The sequence below is a fragment of the Homo sapiens genome, chromosome 1 (assembly GCF_000001405.40).
Source record: "Homo sapiens chromosome 1, GRCh38.p14 Primary Assembly".
Taxonomy (NCBI): Eukaryota; Metazoa; Chordata; class Mammalia; order Primates; family Hominidae; genus Homo; species Homo sapiens.
The window spans coordinates 78898693-78924160 of record NC_000001.11 but is presented as its reverse complement, the minus strand read 5'-3'; the positions used below and the strand labels follow the sequence as shown (position 1 = coordinate 78924160).

At 33.6% G+C, this 25468-nt stretch overlaps 1 protein-coding gene across 1 annotated transcript in view; it reads left to right on the top strand.

Annotated features, from left to right (window-relative positions):
* ADGRL4 (adhesion G protein-coupled receptor L4) overlaps positions 1 to 25468 on the top strand; it is a 116967-nt gene that overhangs the window by 82570 nt on the left and 8929 nt on the right. Inside the window, exons 9-12 of the mRNA NM_022159.4 lie at positions 2375 to 2548; positions 3775 to 3978; positions 6111 to 6331; positions 6461 to 6527. Of these exons, the coding sequence (NP_071442.2) occupies positions 2375 to 2548; positions 3775 to 3978; positions 6111 to 6331; positions 6461 to 6527 (666 nt within the window). The remainder of the gene's footprint in view (positions 1 to 2374; positions 2549 to 3774; positions 3979 to 6110; positions 6332 to 6460; positions 6528 to 25468) is intronic.

Below are 25468 nucleotides of genomic sequence, written 5' to 3'. Positions count from 1 at the left end.
AAGGGTAACCTGGAGAAGTTGAATGCAATTAATATTTTAATTAAAATTTATTGTCTTTTGAATGCAATCAGTCTCTTTCTCTTTATCTCTCTTGTAAAGTTTTGGGATCTTTATTCTCAGTATTCCAAAATCTTTAAGATGTACTTTGGTGTGAATCTTCCTTCATTAATTGCAGTAAACATTTTGTGAGTCTTTTCAGTCTGAAAATGTATGGTCTTCAGTTTTAGGGAATTTTCTACAATGATTTCTTGGTAATCTCTCCCTGTACAGTATCTCTGCTCTCTTTTTCTGTTCCTCTTAGTATTTATGAGACTTCCCAGCAGAGCTTCTAATATTTGGAGTTTTTAAACTTTTTCATTCCTATTTTTAATTTTTCTCCTAATATTTTTTATTTTTACTTTATACTTTATTTTCACTTTATACTTTATTTTCACTGAGAAACTTTATTTTTTCAATCCTGATTTTGTTTAATGGGTACAGTATCTCATCTCTCTGAGATATTATTTATATATTTTTTTAAAAAAGCTATTTTCTGCTTCCTGCATCATCTTGCTCTTGACTTTCTTTCTTTGGATTGTTCATCTTGGTTCCCTGTCTTTGCTGTTGGAGCTTGTCCTCAGATGTCTGGGGGTTCATGACCACCCATTCACATTTAATAATGAGACACGGTGTGCTCTCCTGACCTTGTGGCAGTGGTGTGCTTCACTAGAGTTTTCATCAGGCAGGCTCCTGGCCATGGCATTGGAAGATCCCGAATGTCAGTACCCAAAAGCAGTTTATTTTGGGCCAATCCGTTTCTTAGGAAGAAATGTTTTTCCTTTCCTATCTACCCCAGACAGAAGTCTGGTGAAAGGATTAGGAAAATTAAGAAAATGTGGTAGGGCATGATGGGAGACCAGTGTGTAAACAGACCCTCACTTAACTCTGTTTTTGAATGGTACGCACAATCACAGTTCAGTCTGGCTCCTCAATTCTTGAGTCCCTCTACTTTCTCTAGAATTAGGCCCTTCCCAGGCTCTTTTAGGAACTAAAAGAATTTCAGTTTTCTTCATATAGCTTGACCTCCTTGACAAACTTCTAGCAATCTCTCCAATTTTAACTCAATTATCTTTCCAGACTCATTCCAGACAAACTCACAGTTTTTTTCAGTGCTCCAACTGTTGACCTAAGGGTTGTATTTAGCATCTATCCCATTAAAACAATTATCTTATTGTATTTAAATCATCTGAGTTTCTATCATCCTTGAAGAGCTGATACTTTATCTTTTTGACTGATAATCCTTACTCCTTGAACAGTATATATTATACATTTGTCACTCAGGACATGTTTTCTTTAATAAATATTTGTCTGAAAATTTGAGTTTGATTCTATATTACTCCATCTATCAGTGTTTAGTCTTAAGTACACCTTAAAATCACATATCTTGGCCTCTTAACATAATATAGCATTTATCTCAGAGAAGGTTTATGAGGGTCAAACCAAACAAAATAAGAAAGCAAGCACCTAGTTAAGTGTAAATTGTTATATAACTAAATAGTTTTTATTTCTACAAGTTCAACATTTTATTGATAAATTATTATTAAACCATACATTAGGTATAGTGTTATGATTAGTTAATATAAAAGTATGATAAGGAGAATTCCACTGTTTATTGAATAACTATCACACAGTCTGTGTGTCATCTGTCCCATGTCTGTATCTGATCTTGTCTTCACTATTCATTACCTCACTCACTGTGCTCTAACTTAACTGGCTTCTACAAGTTTCTGGAATGCCTCTGGTCAGCCTCACTTCAGAGCTTGTCCATTTGCATTTCCAACTGTTTGGAACCCTCTGTTCCCAAGTCTGTTGGACACCCCCCTTCACGTCATCGAAGTGCCTGCTTAGACATAATCTAGGAGACGTCCCTTGGACAACCCTCCATATCACTTTCTTTCTTCTTACCCAGGGTTACTTTTCTCATTGAATAATTTTTCATCTCTAACTAGAATTTAATGTCAACAATGCAAACAACTTTTTCTGTTTTGTTCACTGTTGTATTTTTAGTACCTGGATTAATGATAAACATCTAGAAAATACTCAACAAACTTGTATTGAATAAAGATACATATGATAATTATGCACTGTGGTAAATGACATGAGTAATTTACTGTAATGAAAATTACCACACGTTTGTGAGACAAAATTGATAAAATACAGCATTGTTGCAATATAAATTTCCATTCTGCCACATAGCAGCCTTTGTTATAATTTGTTTTGTGTTTCACTGTTAAGGCATTGTTTCAATCACATTAGTGGTATTTTAAATATGACAAAACAATACTATGTATGTAACTTTTTCTCTTTTTTCATCAGTAAAGTATCTTTTTTTCAGGTCACAGATAGGTATAGGAGTCTATGTGCATTTTGGAATTACTCACCTGATACCATGAATGGCAGCTGGTCTTCAGAGGGCTGTGAGCTGACATACTCAAATGAGACCCACACCTCATGCCGCTGTAATCACCTGACACATTTTGCAATTTTGATGTCCTCTGGTCCTTCCATTGTAAGATAATTTTCCCCTTCATATTTATAAATGTTGCTTTTTCTGTTTTTTTTCCGCATCATTCGAGACAATATTTAATTTTTTATATATTTTTCTTGGGTTTAGATAGCACATTTAGTATAAGAGATAAAACCCCAACAGGATCTTTCTTTCTGTCTGTTTTCCTACCTACCTTCTGAAACATATCTAGTATGCATTTAAGATTATTTCTAGTCTAAGACTTATCTAGTCTGTAATATCTGGTAGATTACATATTAAATTAGCTTGTAATGCTGCTTTCAAGAGCCATTTGCCCATTTTAATGTATCACGGAATTTAAAGGCACTTTTTTGTGATGACAGTTTATTTTTACTCATGACAAAGCTCCTGAAAATATTTGACAGTTGGGCAATAAGTATTAGCACACTTATAACTAACATCATGTTTTTAGCAATGTAGAACGCCACAAGATTTTTAAACATGAAGAATCTCTCTAAGGTGAATAGTTTCATGACATTTATCTTACTTTTGTAATATCTTACTTACATTGTATATTTATCACATAATTTCTTATTTTATAGCTCTGTGCTATCATCTCCATTTTAATATATTTATTTATAATCTATCATTAAATATATAAAGTAACCAAATAAATCTACCTGAACATAATGTCAGTCCTAACAATGATTTTTTCCTGAACTTAAGCAAATAAACATCTATTCCGTATATAAACATAAGTATTCATCTAGTTAGGATAAAACCAGCATTTTCTATTTCAAAGTTTCTGAACAATATTACTTGATAATCCTTATATTCTGCATTGCTAACACCTTTGTTTCACATGTTTTAGATGAATCACTGCATAGACATAAGACTTAGTCTTACCACTGATAAATCTGTTTTAATTAACCATGTTCACATTATAATAATCGATTGCCTTTCTAATGTAGTGAAATTAATGACGATAACATTGTTAAACCATGTACTAATACTAATACTATGCCTAGAAAAAAAATCACCAATTACAGAACTGTTAAAGTGCTACATGATTTACATCAGATTTATGTGGATATTGAGGATTTTCAAAAGTACAAAATTTTTCTCATCTAAATGCACATTTATATTTTTACATTTTATGAACATTTTGATTAATGTTTCACCAAAAAAGGAAGTTCATTATATGTTGTAGTTCCTTTGACAACTTAGTGAGTTATTCTTTTAACTGCTTTATTATTATTTTCCCTTAGGGTATTAAAGATTATAATATTCTTACAAGGATCACTCAACTAGGAATAATTATTTCACTGATTTGTCTTGCCATATGCATTTTTACCTTCTGGTTCTTCAGTGAAATTCAAAGCACCAGGACAACAATTCACAAAAATCTTTGCTGTAGCCTATTTCTTGCTGAACTTGTTTTTCTTGTTGGGATCAATACAAATACTAATAAGGTATGTAGGCATCCTAATCTCTATTTTTGTCCTATGATATGTGTACTTTCTTAAATGTATATGTCCTAGAAACATTATTTGTAATTTAGGGTTTAATGGGGCAGACGTTCTCTATAATTTGTTCTTCAGCTATCCTTTCTAAGTTTGATAATGCTAACACAGCTAAGCAAACTACTTATCAAGTCCATTCAGCAAAAATGGCCCTCATTATGATGAATTATTGGGACAAGTTAAAACTTTGCAACAAACTGAATAAATACTTTTTTGTTGTTCTGTTTTGTTTTTAAATGGACGTTAAACAAAGGCCAAGGAGAGAAACAATTAGAAATAAACTTTATCTTAGAATAGGGACTGAACATAAATGCAGTCACAGTTTGTAGGTTGGAATGTGATAAATTGGTTTTACCTAGTATCTTTTCTAACTTCCCATTTCCCAAGATTATTGATTTTGAACCATTTGAACCTTCCCAAAAGGTTTCATATTGTATTGGTCTGGGTCCTCCTAGAAGCAGGTGTTAAGATGGGGTTAAGTATGCAATAGATTTATTAAGAGAATTGCTGGGGAGAGCAAATGGGAAGAGAGAGGCTTGGAGAGCTATCAGACCAAGATTCAGGTATGATCCTGAGGGAAGAAAAGAAGAGTGGGCAAAAGCATTCCACACAGTAATGCAGTTCTAAGGAAAAGTCAGCACAGGTGTCAAGGAGTCCTCTCGGAAGTCCTTGAGCCAACGTTACCTGTCAGGGGAATCATTTTGTCTCTCAGGAGCAGGAATCCTTTGTAAGAGGAATCCTTTTTCTCTCACAGCAGTAACCCTACTGTACTCAGTGATGGGCTGGCAGCAGCCTATGGGAAGTGGGAACAGCAGTGGATTTCCTACAGCTGCGGCTGAAGCCTTAGGTCAGTTGCACTCCTTGCAGTTGGAGATTGGAGAAGTGTATTCTCATGACCACAAAAAGTGAAATTGCCTCCATATTTCCATTCTTAGAAATCTTTCAAAGACTGAAACTAACAATCAGTTAGCAAGGTATTCTTCTGAAGTAGATGGCAAGAAGTGTTTATTTTAAATAGTATACACTAGACTGTGAACTCCTTATCTATTTTTATGTTTTGCAGTGGTATTCGTAACACTTTTCAATTTTATGTATCTCCCACTATCCTCCAATGCCTAGTTCCTATTTCAATTACCTTCCACCATTATCTTCACCCCAAAATTACTCAGTGTAGTGTTTACTTTCAACTACTTTTCACCTATTAAATTTGTCCCATTTTTCCAGTCATATCTCAAATCTCACTTCCTTGCTAAAGTGATTTCCAAATTTTAATTGCCAATGATCTTTCTGTTCCCCAGCCTTATAGAGTACTCTCTAACATATTTTACTATGTCATCTCATTAATCTTGAATTATATTCTGTTTTTTTAATGGGATAGGTACATAAGTATGTATTATGTTATCTCTCCCATGATACATACCTTTAGCTTTACTAGTATGGAAAGTGTAACTACTTCTTCTTCTGTTATTTCTTATAGGTCTAACTTTAGCTCAAGATGAGAAATAAACACTGAAAAGTATGTTTAAGTGAAAGCCATCTCAAATTTACATGATAATCTTAACAGTTGAAAGTAATTCTGTAATGGATATTTTGATGAAATATATTATTAATCTACTTTGTAAATTTTATTTTTGTCATCTAAGATATTTATTTTCTTTTGTCTAGCAGAGTATTATGAGTCATTTTCATTCTTTGAGCATGAATAAAATAAAGGAAAAGAGAGGCATCTCCAAAACAGAAATCAACTTAAATCCTAACATATTCACCAAGATACCATGGTTTACATGAGAATAATCCACAATTTATCACATAAGATAAATATATAAAAGTTACAAACCTCTGGACAAAAACAGTAACAGTTCTATCACAAGATTGGTTAATATTTCACGCTGATGAAACGCAGTTGTTTTTCTAAATCTTTAAGAACTGACATGGTATTTTAATATGACTAATCATTATATAAAGTGGCATACTTTATAGTATAAAGAAAGTTGTGATTTACAGCGAAAGTAGAGATTGTATGTTATGATAATTTTAAAACAAACACTGACAATGTTTTTTTTTTTTTCTTTGATTTCTAGCTCTTCTGTTCAATCATTGCCGGACTGCTACACTACTTCTTTTTAGCTGCTTTTGCATGGATGTGCATTGAAGGCATACATCTCTATCTCATTGTTGTGGGTGTCATCTACAACAAGGGATTTTTGCACAAGAATTTTTATATCTTTGGCTATCTAAGCCCAGCCGTGGTAGTTGGATTTTCGGCAGCACTAGGATACAGATATTATGGCACAACCAAAGTGTAAGTTAAAATGATTTCATGAGCATTTGAAATACGATTTTGAATGTGCTTTGCATTTCTTTGATAATTTTGCTATGTTAACATACATGCAAACATATTTATAGATTCTATCTTTTATTTACTTTTCAGATGTTGGCTTAGCACCGAAAACAACTTTATTTGGAGTTTTATAGGACCAGCATGCCTAATCATTCTTGTATGTATATATAAAATTGTTATTACAATTCAAAAAAGTGATGATCATAGGGTGCTTAAAATTTCCAGCAATAAGGTGTTATTCTAAAAAAGAAGAATTTGAATATTTTACAGTATATCACTTATCAGCATTTTACATATACTATAATTAAAAAATACATGTATATCTTTTAAATCATGTATAGCTTTTATACATTTTTTAATATATACTTTTTAAATATAAAATATAATAATACTTTTTAAATATAAAAAAAATCATGTATAGCTTTTAAATTCAAAGCTATTACAATTCATTTGCCCCTCTTGATGGAGTATAGATGTCTGCATAACATAGAGGAAAAAGCATTTTTTGCTTATCAGTAATACCTCGGCATGCTTCAACACACAGAGTGTGCCAACCAGCTGATAATTTGGCATTTTAGATGTTTACATTATTTAATCTTTTATCGATGATCGGTCATCTTTGAAGATTAGACTGTCATCTTTATAGTTTTATCATCTTTATGTACCCTGTCATCATAAAGTGATTTTAAACTAAATTGCAACAGCAGAGACAAGAACCCACTATTTCTCATGAACAGACAAGTCATATATTGAGATAGTCCTATTTCAGCATGGAAGAGGGCCTTTTAATTCTTATTGGAAGTGGTTTCAAACCTACAAATTTGGCAGGCATTATATGTTCCATTCTAAATAAAGACATTTTTGTATGTCTGAAGAGCATTTCTAAGTCCTGAAAGTTTTCAACAGTCTTTCTGAATATAATAGTCTGTCAGTGAATCTGGGAGGGCTGACAAAACTCTAGAGTGGAATGAATTGTCAGTAGAGAAGTTATGGCAATATTTTGGACAACTTTGTTCCATATGTGTTGACCGTAAGCTAGCCATCTTTTTGAATTTCTTTTTCTGTCTTCCTCTTTCCTTTGAGTTTTTTATGGTTGTGAGGGTACTGCTAAATGGAGAAGGACCTGAAATGCAAAGCAGAGAATTTTCATCAAGCTTTATTTTGCAATGGTGTGGGTGAAATCAAGGGCATTCATAAAGTATACTTTCTACTCATCACAAAAACTCATTTATAATTCTCACAATAAATCAAACAATATTTTATAAAAGAAAAACCAAGAGCAAGATTTAAGCTAAAACAAGTTGAGTTAATTTATTATGACTCCAAAATTTCCAACCCACATAAGAATATAAAATGGTGTCCCACTCGCATATTTTTATGGATTGCCCTGATGTGAGTATTTCATGTGATGGCGTATCCTAATTTTACTGATTTTCTCACCATAGGAAAATCCATCTTTGCCATTGTTTTGTACAAGTGAAAGGTCCGTGGAGCAATGACTCTTATTGTTTAGATAAAAAGTAGCATGATAGAAATTATATTAAAACAACAAAAACAGGAGCATACTTCTCTAAAATAAGAAAGGGGAAGTATTCTTTGAAATAGTTTTTAACAGTTGCTTGTGTAAGGCTAATTTGGATTATTTTATGGTAAGATACAGAGAATTTAGATGAAATTATTTAAAAATGAGTCCTGAAAACTTTTCTAGAAGTCTAAATGAACACTGTCACATTGTTCTAGTCTGGAGCTAGTGAGCCAATTTATCTCCCATACAGTCTCTGTATGATAATCATTTCCAGGTTAACCAGGGGGTCAGTCTACTTAAAAAATGAGCTAGGCCCCTCAGTTTTACTCTACAATTAAATATTTCTCATCTTTTATAATACCTTTTTTAAATACTAAGAAATTCTTAGATAATTATTGAATCAAAGTGAATTATTTATCTCCAGTTATCTTTGTTCTTCTGTGCTAATGCTTGCATATTACTATTATTATTCAGCTATATAACACAATGTTAGATGACATTTTTCCTGTTGCCCAAGAATAGTAGCTAGTTCAAAGATAAAGTCAAAGAGATATTGAACACCAAACATTTAAAAAAGAACCACCAACAGTTTAGGCCTGCTCTTCCCATGGGTCATACAATTAAAGAGAAACACCAGCTATAGCCCCGTGAGAGGACTGGAGAAGGGAGCTCAGCGGATGATGGCTCAGAGTTAGGCATGCTTGGCCTTTAGGGGAGGACAATGTTCTCTATTAGAAGTTTTTCTTTTCTCTACCAATAAGAAAAAATGATGGTGTTTCCCTATCCCCTGAAGACAAGATGTGGAGGAACACTCAAAAAAGTTTGCAGAGCATGGAATCAAAATAGTAAGAGTAAAATTATCATCCTGATCTCACATTGCTAGAATGACTGTAGAATTTTCATGTGTCCCCGGGATATAAGAATACCAGATTATAATGAGCATTTTTTATGAGAGTTTGCCATATATCCCCTGATTTCGAGCCAAATGTGAACCTAGAGACTAGCACCTGCTTTTGTACGGAGTTTCCTCCAGGCAATGTGCTTACTGGAGTATTCTTCAACAGCAGGGACAGAAAAGATTATTATACAGTGTCCCTAGTAATAAAATGATAGGGTGAAACTCAAAGACTTGAGCTATTCTATACGCAAAGATAAGTCGGAGAAATGGAAAGAAGTTGCAGGTCTGCCTAGGTCATGTGAAGATATGTACAATGAAGAGAATGGGTTGAATGGAGATATGGATATTCATCTTTGAAGAATAGAAGAGACCAAGATGGAAATGAAATACTGTGATCACCAAGTAAATTATGCATACCATCAAAGTGAAGACTGTCTCTTAAGCCACAACTAGCAATGGTAATAAGAACCAGACTAAACCAAAATTATATCATGCAGCTCCCCCATAACAACTGGTGGTCAGATCCTTCTACCCTCCAAGCGCAGAGTTGTGGATCCCTAGCAGTAGAAGACCAGTATCTCAGAACCAACCACTCTGCCCCTACTCAAACACATACGCTTCAAGTATCTGGAAAGGAAAAAGAAGTAAACACCAGATTTTAAAAAATCTAAAATTACTAAAAGCTATGGCATGTAAATTTATGGCAGTCCCTGAAGAAAAAAAAAAGTAACTTTTATGTCACCAAAAAAAATCTCTACTTCACCAACTAGAGATTCCTTGGTGAAGTAGGAATGTTCAAATGTTCAAATGATCAGATGAACATCAAATGATCAGATGTTCAAAATTGATCACCACTTGCCATTTTGGGGATAGCAATGACCTACTGATTAGGAATTTGCATCCTATGCTTTAGAATATCCTGCTAGGTAAAGACCCAAACCGTATGATTAAGTTCACCGTGTTAATTGGGTGCTCTGGACATGATAGAAAGACAAAGAAAATATAAGAAATATCTTCTGCCAACTACAGTATGAATGAGAGGAAAAAAGACAACACACATGATAAAGGAAAGTATATAATTACAATATAAGTCATACTGGTAAGATGTGGAGAGATCAGTATATATATCATAGACATTCAAAAGTCTTCATTGAGGTGGAGGACCTTGTTTGTGGATGTGACAAGAAGCAGGTTCTACTTTATATGATTGCGAAAGGGCAGAGGATTGCAAGTGTGAACTAAAGCAAGCAGCCCTTATAAGCATGCCAGATTCCTTCTGAGGGAGAACAAACGGCAAAACAAGAAGTAGTTAGCATTGTAAACCAGGCAATACCAGACATCAACTGAAGAATCACCATTATTCACAGTATTCAAGAATCATCTTTTTAAAATACATTAATCACTTCTTAGTCCAGATTGTCATTAACTACTAAACAAATTTTTACCTCCACAAATAAACTCATCCATTTACTCTCCTCCATGTTTATAGTCGGGGCCTTGCTATCCCTCACTAGGATGCTTAGTATTCAGAACAAAAATAAGAGGTTTTATTTTAATTTATACTTTGTTTTGTTTTATTTTATTTAACTTTTATTTTAAGTTCAAGGGTACATGTGCAGGTTTTTTACATAAGTAAACTTGCGTCATGCGGATTTGTTGTATGGATTATTTCATCATGCAAGTATTAAGCCTAGTACCCATTAGTGATTTTACCTGATCTTCTCCCTCCTTCCATCTTCTACACTCAAGTAGGCTCCAATGTCTGCTGTTCCCATCTTTGTGTCCATGTGTTCTCATCATTTGGCTCCCACTTATAAGTGAGAGCATGTGGTATTTGGTTTTCTGTTCCTGCATTAGTTTGCAAAGGATAATGACCTCCAGTTCCATCCACGACCCTGCAAAGGACATGAACTCATTCTTTTTCTGACTGCATAGTATTCCACGGTGTATATGCATGTTTTCTTTATTCAGTCTACCACTGATGGGCATTTAGTTTATACTGTGTCTTTGCTATTGTGAATAGTGCTGCAGTGAACATGTGTCTTTATGATAGAACAATTTATATTCTTTTGGGTATATACCAAGTAATGGGATTGCTGGGTCAAATGGTAGTTCTGTTTTTAGGTCTTTGAGGAATCACCACCCTGTCTTCCACAATAGCTGAACTAATTTATACTCCCACCAACAGTGTATAACCATTCCTTTTTCTCCCCAACTTCACCAGCATCTGTAATTTTTTGACTTTTTAATAATAGCCATTCTGACTGGTGTGAGATGATATCTCACTGTGGTTTTGATTTGCATTGCTCTGATGATTAGTGACAGTGAACATTTTTTCATATGCTTGTTGGCCATGTGTATGTCTCCTTTTGAACAGTGTCTCTTCATGTCCCTTGTCCCCATTGTAATGGGGTTGTTTGTTTTTTCTTCTTCTAAATTTGTTTAAGTTCCTTATAGTTCTGGAATTAGACTTTTGTCAGATGCATAATTTGCAAATATTTTCTTCCATTCCATAGGTTGTCTGTTTATTCTGTTGATTGTTTTGCTGTGCAGAAGCTTTTTAGTTTAATTAGTTCACATTTGCCAATTTTTTTTAAAGTGTAGGGGTGCATGACTTACCCTGGCCTGGTATAGCCTCAGGTCCTGTTTATAATTTGGTATCATATTGCCACAAAGAGTCTGTTCTGGCAGTTTTATGACCTCCTATTTTAACATTAATGCAGTCAGCTATTGTTTTTAAATCAGCAATCCCCAACTTTTTGGCACCAGGGACCAGTTTTGTGGAAGACGATTTTTCCACAGATTGTTGAGGAGGGGTAATTGGCATTAGATTCTCATAAGGAGCATGTAGCTTAGATCCCTTGCATGCACATTGCACAATAGGGTTTGCCCTCCTATGAGAAGCTAATGCTGCTGATGATTTGACAGGATGGGAGCTCAGGCAGTACTGGTTCATGGCCTGGGGTTTGGGAATCCCTTGTCTAAACCATAAAAGAGAGAGGGTATAACAAGGTGTTTTTGACCTTCCAACTCATCATGGCCAGGAACTCAGTTTTCAAGTTTTTCTGGGGTCTCCTTGGCACAACAGAGTCTAGTCAGTTGATGAAGGGATTCAAATTTTATTTTTAGTTTACATCTCAATCATAGAGCTATGCCTTTCTTGATTTATTTACCGCATCTTACTCAATATTCATCTTGCTCAATAATCAGTGCCACTGTGTTGCACAACTTTAGGAGTCACAGTTGCAATGTGGTCTTTGGGGAGCTGCATTCACATTGGAACCTCTGTGAGTGATGGACTCTAGAACTGTAAAACTTTGTGGCCCTCTTTTTGGTCACCCTGCAGTATAGAAGTGCCTAGTAAGTCTTCAGTAATTATGTGTATATTTTAATTGAGCCACTAAAAATATCGATGGTAATAAATGAGGAAGCAAGATTAAGTGATCTCTCTGAAGCTATTTTTCTACGCCTAGCCTTGGGTTCCTAATATGCAGATGAAGTTAATGATGCCAGCCCTACATAACACGGCTATGGTAAAAACAGCAATAACAACTTTAACTTATTTTTTAACAATTAAAAAAGGAAAATGCACAACATTCTGGAGGATAATCTTATGGCATTCCTATACCTACATTTTTGTATTAAAATTAAATAAAAAGACATTTTAAAACCATGATTTTTACAGCAAAACATTATATGCAAGGGAATGTATGTGTAGCCAACTATAGTGTGTGTGTGTGTGTGTGTGTGTGTTTAGATCTTGATTTTTAAAATATTAGTGAATAAGTAGCAGTATTTAATTATAGCAAGATATGATTATTATACGTGTGTCTGTTTTTATATAGAATTTGTTAGAAGTCTCTAGTACACCATACCAGAAAAAGTTTAGCTAAAACAAAGTAAACATGAAATATTGCAAAGAAAACCAATAGAAACTTAACAGAATAAATAATATTTATTTTCCAGAATAAAGACACAATATAAGTGAAGCTTCAAATTTAAATAGGTAATTAGGGGCAAATTTTTTATGGCCTTATATGAAGGTTAAGATTGCTTTCACCGTTTCTCTGAACACATCTAGAAAGACTTGTGCTCCAGAAAAGAAATCTCTATAGAGCAATCTTTAATCCCAATCATTCCTACATGGAATCCTTACAGTTTATCCATAGAGTAAGGACTTCTAGAGTAAGAATTACAGACTAATGCCTTAAATGGTATTTGCTTATTTTTATGAATGGAGCCCTGAGGCTTGCCTGGTTTGGGAATATGATGTAAAATGCCTTTGAGGTAATATATAAATCAGTAAGAACAGAATTAGTTCAACACTAATGTATTATTATGTATGTTGTTTCAAACAAATATTTAAGCTTTTAATCCGTTCAGATAAGTGTTAACTACTTAGGTATTTGAACAGTAACATGTTCTGCATTGATCTTACTAAAGTAATTCTTCAGGTGTTTGGTTCATTAATATTAAAAATCTCTTAGAATTCTGAAATATGAACCAGTGACCTCATTGATTCTATCTATGAATCACTACATTTAAAATGTTAAGATTGTGACTGTACTTGAAAAGGCCTAGTCTTGCTTTTTGAAAGCTTGAGCTGTACAAAAAAGAGATGTCTAAATCTTTGTAAAGCAAGCTGCAAACTGAAGATAATTTCCATAATTTATTTCTTCATTCAATATTTTTAATCTTCAATGCTCAATTCTTTAAACTAAAACTATGTAAGTGATTAGATTCAAGTACACAACTATAAAGAAGAGTTCATAAAAATAATTTAACTTTTAAATAGAAACTGAAGTTTCCCCTAGACACATTCAGCATTGAAGAATAGCATTTGCTTGATTGAGGCAAATACTAATTAAGCTATGTCCAAGTAAGGTATTTTATTTAAAAACTGTGAGGTTTCATTTGAATTTAAATCAAAACTCTCATAATTATGTGTTGCTGTATCACTACTCTTACCAACTTCTTTTCAAATCTGACCAGAACTCCACTCACTTTTTGTTGTAACCTCTAATTGTCCTTTATATGTCTACAATCTAATTCCCTTTCACCAGGAAATACTTATTAAAACCTACTCAAAATGAATTTTTATGACTCTTACAAGATGGGCCACATTTAGACATATCTGTTATTATGTAAGACATTCTTATTACATTTTTTAGTAGCACAAATTGCCAAAGATTGGAAAAATGCAAATATTACAAGACTGTGCAAGGTAAAAATGTGAATATTCCAATCTACACTCATTCTCCCCATAAATACATTTTTCTTAATATTTACTCTGTATCCTTTTAGACCTCTGCTGTGTGTATATTTGATTATAAATTCAAAAAACCTGAATTGTCTATTATCTGTAATATATCATATTCATTTTTCCTTGTTAGAATATACAGTTCTACCCTCTTTTTATCATGTATATTATGACTATGTGCTAATTTATTTAACAACTTTCCTATTGAAGAATATTTAATGTATTTCCAAAGTTTACTTATTACAAATAATACTGCACAGAGAATCTTTATTCCAATATAATTTCATGTATCTATTACATAAAATTATTAGGAACTACTTCTTAGAAGTAGAAATGCAAGTATATACAGATTTTAAAATTTACAAATTGTCCTTCAAAACAATTACTTCAATTGATAGGTTCACCAACAATATATGAGAGTGTTCTCTTTCTGACACTTCTGCCAATGCTAGATATTATTATCTACTGAGGTAGATAATAAAAATAAATGGTTCGATTGGAATATATAAACCAAAAAGCATTGTGATAAACTAGGATTCCACAATAATGGCAGAGCTGACACGTTGGATCAAATCTTTGTTGTGGAGGCTGTCCTGTCTGTGCTATTATAAGCTTAGGAACATCTCTGGTCTCTACTCACTAGATGCCAGTAGCACCACTGCCACTTAAATATGACAACCAAAAATGCCTCTCCACATGTCCTCTGGGGGATGATATTCCCAGTTCTCTTCACTGGGAACCACTAGCCTAGACATGGATGTTAAGTATCTTGAATACGATTGTATTTTGCAGTCCTCTATAAATAGCATACAATGAGAAAAATCATGAGAATCATGGTTTGGGCACTGTACTTTAGATGTCCACATTAAAGTTATATTAGAAACACTACTCATTGTAATTTTAAATGTTATGGATAATGGCATCAACATTTTAATTATGTGTTTTAATTTAACATCATCATATTTGTTGGGTGCATCTTTCAGTCACCTCTGTGTTTCAAGGCACTTTAATACTCTAACCTTTATCCATATTATGTATTAATAAGCATTTCAGTGCCTGTAACATTTTTCCACTTTTTTTCATATTATTTTGACCTTCTTGAAACAATAGATAGCTGGAATTCAAAATAAGGAAAAGTGGAATTATATAAAAACATAAATAATACATTGGTAGTTTCAATATGTTCCTATATATGAGAGATATATTCTTACTGGAAATACCTTCAAAGATAATGTCCTTAAGACACATAGTAGAAAATGTCTTAAAAGCTGAATAAACTCATAGAAATTAGAAATCCAAAAAATATTTTTAAAAACTCTTGGATCTCTAAAGCCCAGTTGGAAATAACTGGTTAAGATGAGATTCATCGCTAGTATTTCCTTATAAATGTAGCTTTACATTGAAGGATGTTACATAATGATATGATGAAAGGGAAGAACTATGGATGTTGGTAAAGCAAGATAGTCATTAGAATTATTATTCACTTTACATTCCTATAGTCTTTTAACCTTTACAAAACACTTATATCTCAGTTAATCCTAATGGAAGCTTCTGTAATACATGCAAATAAAAATAGTAACAGCATTTCATAAAAAATGATGTTTTACTAGATGTTTACACTGTAATACTGTAATATTGACTTATCTACTTAAAAATACCTACAGGGGTTCTGCTATTTATAACTTTTTAAAGCTTTAGACCAATTGTTTGAAAAGGGCTGATTACACTAAGGCAAATTATGTGCATTCTTTTGTAGCTAACAGACAAAACCTTCAAGCTCCTATTTACTAAGAATCCATAAAATCCTTAAACTTAGCCAAGAGCACAGTATAGGTTCTAATCACCTTTGGACTTCTGATCATCCTCTGAAAGTAACATGATTTCCTTCCCCAAGCTGATCTACTACAAGAGGGAGCCTTTCTTTGAATCAGTCTTTCTTAGTCGTTGCAGAGCTCATGTTCTACACAACTGAAGATATTTAAACTTCTCTATAAGTGTTTGTCATATCCCTCTGTCCCCTTTAATATTCCCTGCAAAATATGAGTTACAAATTTTGAGAGAATGGACAGTCTGCGTGGCTTGGTCTTGATTTCTTTCTCTCATACGGAAACATTGTGCAGTCTAGTTTCAGGGCTTCCCAAGGAATAAGTATTTAAGATTCTTTTTGATGCAAAAATCATTCCTCCTGATTGTATCTGATCAAAATGACAACCAGCCCAGGCAAACGGGGACGTGTGGATACTTTACCTAGAAGTGCATGTTCTAGACCCTGTCTGCTGCTCACCTTCTTTTTTTCAAGAGCTCTCCATATTCAGTCACACTGGCTGCTTGACACTTCCTAAGAGGTTCTATGTACCTTCCCATCTCAGCACCTCTGCCCTAAAACATTCCCTATCACTTCCTTCTGTTTATACCTCCATCTAGTTACCACTCATTTGTCTTTCAGATATCAACTCAAACAACACTTTCCAAGGAAAGTCCCGCTTGATTCATTAGTCCATAATAAGTCTCATTGTTAAATGCTTTCATAGAAGCCCATTTTTTTCTTTTGGAAAACTTTTATCATTCTACAATTACACATGTGTTAGTGTGAATAACCTATTAATATCTGTCTTCTCAAAGGAGTACTGTAAGCTCTGTGAAAACAAAAACCTTATGGATTTTCTCTCAGTATATTATCTTTAGGGGTTAGCATGTAGAATTCACTCAAGTAATACTGTTGAATGAATAAATGAATGATGCGCCATGAAAAGTTACTCAGAAATGATATTTCCTTCCCTAAAATGGAAATTTAAAGAAATAAATCATCACGGACATAAGATTATTTTGAGAAAAAATTTCAGAAAATTATATGCAGCATTCATTATAAACTATCACTTTTACTTTATTTACTTTTTTCTTAGAAAATCATTACTATATCTACCTATGTATATTAGTCTATCTACCTATGACATGCTTTCAGTAGGAATTTTAACACTGAGGTTTTACACTTAACTGAATGAAATGAAGTGCTGGCTAGACAATGCCAGAAGTTTTCAAAAGCAATATGGATAGTGAAGAGTACAAACAATGGGTTCTTTCCATGCCCTGAATTTCTGATATGTAGATGGGGATAATGGTATCTACTCCAGATACAGAGATACTGTTAAAAACTAAAAGCAAATTATTAGAGCATTTTTTAAAAGTCAGAAAAGGACAATTCTTAATAATTTGGGGGAAAATCTTATATCTCTTCTATTTTTACCTTTTAAATGAAAAATTAAATTGGCAATAATTTTAGATATACCTTTGAATTTAATTGCGAAAGTTCTATTTTAGCTTCTCAGCGAGCAACTTATATAAATTTATATTAAAGTTTTTATACCTTAAAGGTTACAGTTTTATAAACTTCCTTTGAAATGTTTGATTCTTACTAACCTCTGTTCTTGTTTTCTATTGCAAGTATATACAACAAATATTTTTCATTGCTTATATCTTAAGAAGAAATAGTTCATTATGTAGTATTCATTGTCACATTACATCAATTTACATTGTTGTAAATGCTCTTCACATACAGTTGTTCTCCTTCACCTTTATTCCTTTCCATGGTTTAAAATCATCTACAGTTAAAAACCAGTGATAAAGATAAACCCATGTAGCTCACTTACTCCCGTGCGGGTCACTTTATCCTTCATGGATACAGATGTCCAGTTCTCTCTGCCTTTTGATTCTGTTTTTGAGACTAGTAAATTATTCCTTCAAACACTAAAAAAAACCACTATTAAAATATTCCTAATGGAAACATGTTAAAAATATGAAGTGCTAATACTATTTTAATGCCTAAAATGATTATGTATTAGGATGGGATTTTAGCCATAATTAAATAGAGCAATTATTTAGCTATAAGCTATAGCATGAGGATTAATTTCCTAATAGACAAGTATCCTGCCAACTAGTTGACTAAGAATTTAGTTGTGGCCTACCAGTGTGCCCAAGTCTTAGATTAATGAATTTATATCATAAAACCCATGAATCTTTAGTTTCTTTTAGATGCAAACTATTGAAAGTTGTCCATTGTGTCTATCCACATCAACAGATGTAACTTTATTATTTTTCCCTACTCAGAGTTATTCCTGGAGAATAATTATATTTGGATAATTTGAGCTATATTTCTTAGTTTCTGTTGCCATATATTATGTAATATTCTGTTTCTAATTCTATACTATTATGTCACAATCTGCAAAATGTGAGACAAAATAAAAATGTAATTTTTCGAAATGTTTAGTCAAATTAATGGCTAAATGCTCCTTTATGAAGGTTATTAAAGATACCTGGGATTTAAATATAGGGTCTATCCTTCACCCTTTTATTTATTCAACAAATGATTGTTGAGCATCTTGTATATTCCAAACACTGTTCTAGGCCTTGAGAATACATCACCAAATAAAATAGAAAATAGTCTTTGTCCTTGTGGACCTCGGATTCTAGATCAGGAGTCATCAATGAGCATGGCTTGTTTTTGTAAATAGTTTTATTGGGATACAGCCACACTCATTTGTTTGTTTTTGTATTCTCTGCTTTAATGGTATGGCATAGTTGTGATCAAGGCCACAGGTGTCTCAAAACCTCAAATTGTTATTTTCTGGACCTCTACACAAAATGTTTACTAATCCCAGCTGTATACTAGAGAAATGTAAGAAAAGGTAGCTATCTGCTCTCATAAAATTCCCAGAATTTCATAATGGATTAATTATGAATATGTCTTCTTATATTCTGGGTACTTTATGGGTCACCCTTTGCAATATAGTTATTTCTTTCTTTCTATAAACTTATTGAAGTTAGCCAGGTTTATGATCTACAAATTACAATTCTACCCCAGAGAAGTTTCAACAGAAATGAGGAATTGTTTACACAAATGATAAATGCTCAACTTACTCTTGAATTATATCCATTTCAGTAATTATTTTGCTGATATCACTTTAGAAGAAAGTCCTGAAAGTGGAAAATATTTCCCTCCTCTATATTAAGAACATATTGGCCAAAAATAAAGACAGACAAATATAAGTTCTGGTATTTTAAGATGCTATTGACAGGTCCATTGAAACCATATCACAAAACAATAATTATCCAATTGTTGAATAAATACACATTATATGTAGTTTTGGTCACTTCAAATTTTGAAAACAATATAGAAGAACCATAATTCTGTATGAGTGTTATAACCACTACTGATAATAATTGATGTTTGTTGAGAACTTAAATATTAGGTACTCTTTGGAGTACTTTACATTAATTATGTAATTTAATACACACAAACAACCTGTGAGATAAGTACTAATACTATCCACATTTTACACGCAAGGAAAGTAAGACACAAATAACTAAATATATTAATCTTCTTGTAAGTATGAAAACTGGAATTTGAACCTATGAATGTGGCTCTAAGGTCCATTTAGTCCATTTATTTTGAAGGTGCATTTGTTGCTTTCTTAAAACTGTCATATTATATAAGAAAGTGGTTTTCAAACTTTTTGACTAAAGACCCATCAGTAAAATGTATGCACCTCACTAAATGTATGTTTATATCTTGAAAATGTCTTTCATTTATTAGTTTACTAATATTTTATATAAATTATCTTATACAGTATATAAAGTATATTGTAAAACATACTTTAAAATATATATTAAAGAATGAAAGATGAAATAACAATATTTAAAATAGATCAATATGATTCTCACTAAAATATTAGCATTTCATTTTTTTAAATGAAATATTGATTATACTTTAAATGCAGCAATTCAAAGGTATAGATCTAAGTTCAATACTTGGTTTAAATGACTATCAGGGAGCTGCAACCTCAAAAATACATTAAATCTGTACTTTCACATTAGATGTAGCAGATCTACCACTCTGGGTACTCTGTTCTAATACTTATTTCTTCAAATCTTCAGCAATGTTTTATTATTGCACTTTCTAGAAGTTTTTAGTGAAGGAGTATATAAAGGAATACATTGAAATTTGGTGCCATTATTCTATTTGTTTTCCATGTCTTACTTCATGGGTTATTATATTATGTTCCATGTATTATTTTAGTTAATTTTATCATGAAGAACAGATATTTTCTTCAATAGTACATTATTATTATTATTATTTATTTATTTATTTATTTATTTATTTATTTATTTATTTATTTTATATGGAGTCTCGCTGTGTCACCAGGCTGGAGTGCAGTGGCGTGATCTCAGCTCACTGCAACCTCCACCTCTCAGGTTCAAGGGATTCTCCTGCCTCAGCCTCCTGAGTAGCTGGGACTACAGGCACGTGCCTCCAGGCCCAGCAAATTTTTTTGTATTTTAGGTAGAGAGGGAGTTTCACCATGTTGGCCAAGATGGTCTCAATCTCTTGACCTCGTGATCCACCCTCCTCGGCCTCCCAAAGTGTTGAGATTACAGGCGTGAGCCACCGCGCCCGGCCAATAGTACCTGACTTTTTTTTTAAACTTCCACTGTTAAGTAGAAAACATTACTAGAAACTTCTAAACATTTCATGAATATGCATAACTTTAAATATGACTGAAAACTGTGGATCTAAATCCATGCTTCAAATTGTCTTCTTAAAACTTTGAGTTTTGTAATACCATTTAATCAAATCTGATTAGATCTTCATGGATTTTAACTGTGACTGGCTTATATGGACTTTTTACATGAACTTGCAGCCTGGCTGGCACATAGCACACTGTAGAAGTAAGAAAAATGTCAGTTTGTCATTTTCTTGTTTGTATTTTCCTTAGTAGTATGAATTTTAACCCACAGTGCACTTGGAGACATCTTAAGTCTTATTTGTCCATTTCATTAGGATTACTTTATTAAAACTAAATAGTGTAAGATGACAGGCATGCATACAATATGATGCAGTAGGCTGAAAGATAAAGAGGGTGGATTCCTCCACCTTGAGGAACAAATATAGCCTTCAGAATGGCTCAGATCTGACATGGGATTCCACTCCATAGAGCATGGAAAAAGTGAGGACACCAGTGTCATTCATATTTTAAGTATTAAAGTTTAATTTTTCCGTGGGAAAATATCAGCTGGAATTCGAATGTGTTCTTCATGTACCCCAATTTATATTTTTTTGACAATCCACTTTGGAAACCACTATCATGAAATGATTATACAGTTATATTTGGACTCTAAAGGATGGAAAGCTTTGTTGTTCACCAGTACAGGAAAAATTACCACATTCTTTAATCCCTTGACCACAGAGAACAATGAGGACAGATGTCTCCAGTAAAGGATAATTAGCACAGTACACTAAATCCTGTTAGCTATTAACAAGGCCTTCATCACTGGTATCATGACTAATTTGGATGAACACTAATGCCAAATAGTTAACCATAGTAATACTTATTAATATGTTGTTCTTCTCCTTTAATTATTTCTCAAAGGCAATAACTGTTAGCTATGCATGTAAATAAATGTCTGTACAATTAAATTCTTAAAATTGTAGATGTCAGTTTAGCTTCTCTTTATTGTTTCCTTCATCTTAGTTTGGTAGCTTTGTAAAGTGCTCAGGAGCATAAACTCTAGAACCTGTCTACTAGGTATGAATATTGGCTCTGTTACCCCCTAATTGTATTACCTTGGGCAAGTTATTTGACCTCTTTCTGCCTCTGTTGCCATAAATGTGAAACAAATGTAATAATAAGAGCAACAACAGAAATAATAATGGTAATGGTGATAATAGTAAGGCAAAGAATGCTTATCCCATTAACTTGGTGAGAGGGTTAAATAAATTAATAAATAGACTTGGAACAATATCTGGCACATAGAAAGCACTCAATATCAGCACTCAAAATTTTAATTTTGGGGGATGTGGAGGTGGTCATTCACTTGAGTTTCAATATAACAGTAGTTTTGAAGTACATGCAGAATGCCACATTATCTCAGAGCGATTATTCATCTAATTGGGTTCCTCTGCAGTCAATGCCTGGTAGAAGAACATTGCTGTTTTCTAAAGTATAAATCTCAAGAGTTTACTGCATTTTTTGATACTGTTACTATCCCAGAGCAATCTATTAAAATTTTTCTCCTTTTGTGATATAAAGAGCCTACTTTAGTATATTTATTATGGTTTCAGATGTTTCAGTGTATTTCAGATCACTTAATTTTTTTCACATAATTGTAGACTGCACTCCCATTTCTCTGAGGTCTGCTTTCTGCTGAGCTGAGTGTTGGTAACCTCAGCAGAGAAATATCTTTTAGCTCTGTAGATACTCCCAAGTGTGCTAAATCCTGACCCTAGTGAGTGCTGAACATGATGAGGCTCATGGTGTTAGCAGAGAGACGCTTCCTAGCAGTGTCATGTAGCTATATGTGGGGGTGAAAGTTATTCTGTCTTTTCTACAAATCTGACAATAGGTGACCAAACACTGTGGCATCATACTTGCTGTGAATTTTGACAAATGTACTAGTACCATTTTATACCTGTGCTTTATACATTTTATTTCTAACCATTACTTTACTAACAAAAAGTGTTTAACAGGTGCTGGCTCAATCCACTGCTTCTGGACACAACTGTACCATGTGTACCAAGGAGTTTCCAAAGAGAAAGAGTTCTGCCAAGACCAAATGTATCATTTTCTGGGTTCAATCCTTTATGTGCCCTTTCATAGACTACATACTTTTAGGACATTTTATCAGTTTTAACACATACACATATATTCAGTCTCCACAATAGTTGGAACATCTAAAAATGTAGCCCCCCTTCCTTTGAGGTCTCTTTCAAACAATTATAGATCAGCCTGTGTGAAGAGGGTGACATCCTTGGGGTTTTCCACTAAGAAGCCAATGTCCTCAGATTATAAAAAGATCAGATGTGAACAAAATTTGAAAGCTATGAAGTTAGGGTTGACATGAAGGATGCCAAGTGTAGTTAAATTTTAGATAAACAATGAATTAATTTTTAAGTGTAAATATGCCCCCAAATATTGCATGGAATTAATATTAATATTTGGAACCAAGATACTGGTATCCTATATTTTTATTTACAACATCTGGCAATCCTATGTGAAGGACCTATAAAGATAAGAATTTTACAGAAGAAATATGGTAGGTTCTATAAATTAGTATTTATTTTAAACTGGATTTTAAATCTCATACAATTTAATATTACATTAAACCTTTTAAGATTTAAAATCCAGTTTAAAATAAATACTAATTTAAAGATAATAAAAACTATAATTATAGGGTATTTCATTATATACATATACACATTGTATTTAGTCCATTCTCACACCGCTACACAGAACTGCCTGAGACCGGGTAATTTATGAAGAGAAGAGGTTTAATTGACTCACAGTTCCTCAGGCTGTACAGGAAGCATGGCTGGGAAACTTGCAATCATGAAGTGAAGGAAAAGCAAGTACGTCTTCACATAGTGATCAGAGAGAGAAGAATAGTGAAGGGAGAGGTGCGACACCCTTTCAAACAGCCAGATCTCATGAGAACTCTGTCACAAGAACAGCAAAGGGGAAAGTCTGCCCCCATGATTCAATCACCTGCACCAGGCCCCTCCTCCAACACTAAAGATAACAATTCAGCATGAGATTTGGGTGGGGGCACAGAGCCAAACCATATCACACCTATATGTACATGTGCGTGTATTTCTCCCTATATTAGATTTCTATTGCTGCTATAACGAATTACCACAATTCAGTGGCCTAAGACGACACAAACGTATTATCTCACAGTTCTGTAGGTTAGAAGTCTGGGTATAGCATGACGCATCTGGTTTTTCTGCTTAGAGTCTCACTGGGCTAAAATCAAGATATCAATGTCTCTGGAGGGACTGCGGAAGAATTCATTTCCATTTTTATTCAGGTTGTTGGCCAAATTGAGCTCCATGCAGTTGTGGGACTAAGACCCCATTTCCTTGCTGGCTGTGAGACGGGGCTCCTACTCAACCTCAGAGGCCTCCCACCTTCCCTGACTCATGATCTCATTCATCTTCAAAGCCAGCAACAGCTGTTGGTGTCTTTTCCTGCTTAAATTTCTCTACCTCCACTTCATTTTTGCCGTATCTCTCCCACCAAATCTCCTCTGCCTCAAAGGCTCATGTGATTATATTGGGCTCAACCAGGTAATTCAGGATCACCTCCCTATCTTAAAGTTTATAACATTAATTCTATCTGTAATATCCCTTTTGCCATATTCACAGGTTCCAGGAATCAAGGTGTGGACATTTTTTTGGAGGGGGAGCCATTATTCTGCTTTACACACACCCAATTTTCTGATACTCTGTGATAAGCATTGTAACTAAGGCACTTAATATGGTAATCTCAATTGGGAAATGGTTAAAAAAAAAAAGAAAATCAGACAGAAGACAAAACCTGTTCTACTTTGATTCCAATTTAACTCATGGACAATTAATAGAGCACAATTTAAAATTCTGATGCTTAAATTAATAACTACATAGGGCCAAGCATGGTGGCTCATGCCTGTATTCCCAGCACTTTGGGAGACCTAGGTGGACAGATCGCTTGAGCCCAGAAGTTTGAGAACAGCTTGGGCAATATGGCGAAACCCCATCTCTACTTAAAATACAAAAAATTAGCCAGGTATGGTGGTGTGCACCTGTGGTCCCAGCTACTCAGGAGGCTGAGGTGGGAGGATGCTTGAGTCCAGGAGGTTGAGGTTGCAGTGGACTATGATTGCACCGCTGCACTCCAGCCTGGGCAACAGAGCAAGAACCTGTCTCAAAATAAATACTTACATACATACATAGCCATTTCTGCAGTGGTATAACGATTGAGAATGAAAAGCTGCTGTATATGGCTATTCAGTAGGCCAGTCAGTAGAAACCCATCTGTTGTTCATAGCAAAAGCAGGTCTGTCCTAGGCCAGTTGACTTAAAGGTAATAAAACTATTTGAAAGAACAAAGACATTGTGATTATGACACATCCTTAAATGAACCAGATTCTGTTTGATATTTATGAAAAATTTAAGCATGGGTCTAAAAGTGCTGTAAGAGAAATCTTTTCATTTTTTTCGATGAGATCTAACATCATATAGATGGCTTCATCAATTATTGAGAAAAAGACTATGAAAAGAAAAATGACTGATTGGGATGCTTCATTTTGAAGTCTGATTTTGAAGCCTTTGGGTTGAATGTACCTGTAGCTCTAAATCCTTCAGAATTAGTTGTCGTTCTTTCACCAACTCATCTACTTAAATTTCTTGTTTTTTTTAAAGACACTTAAAAAATTTTAACACACTGTCAAACAACAAAATGTATGTGCTAAGCTTTGAAATACATGAAATATATGAACTGCATGTATCTGAATTTAAGAAACAGGTCTCTTTATAGATAAATATCACTTAAGATGAAACAAAAAATGACTTTAAATTTAAAATATTGCTTTATCTCAAGAGTTAAG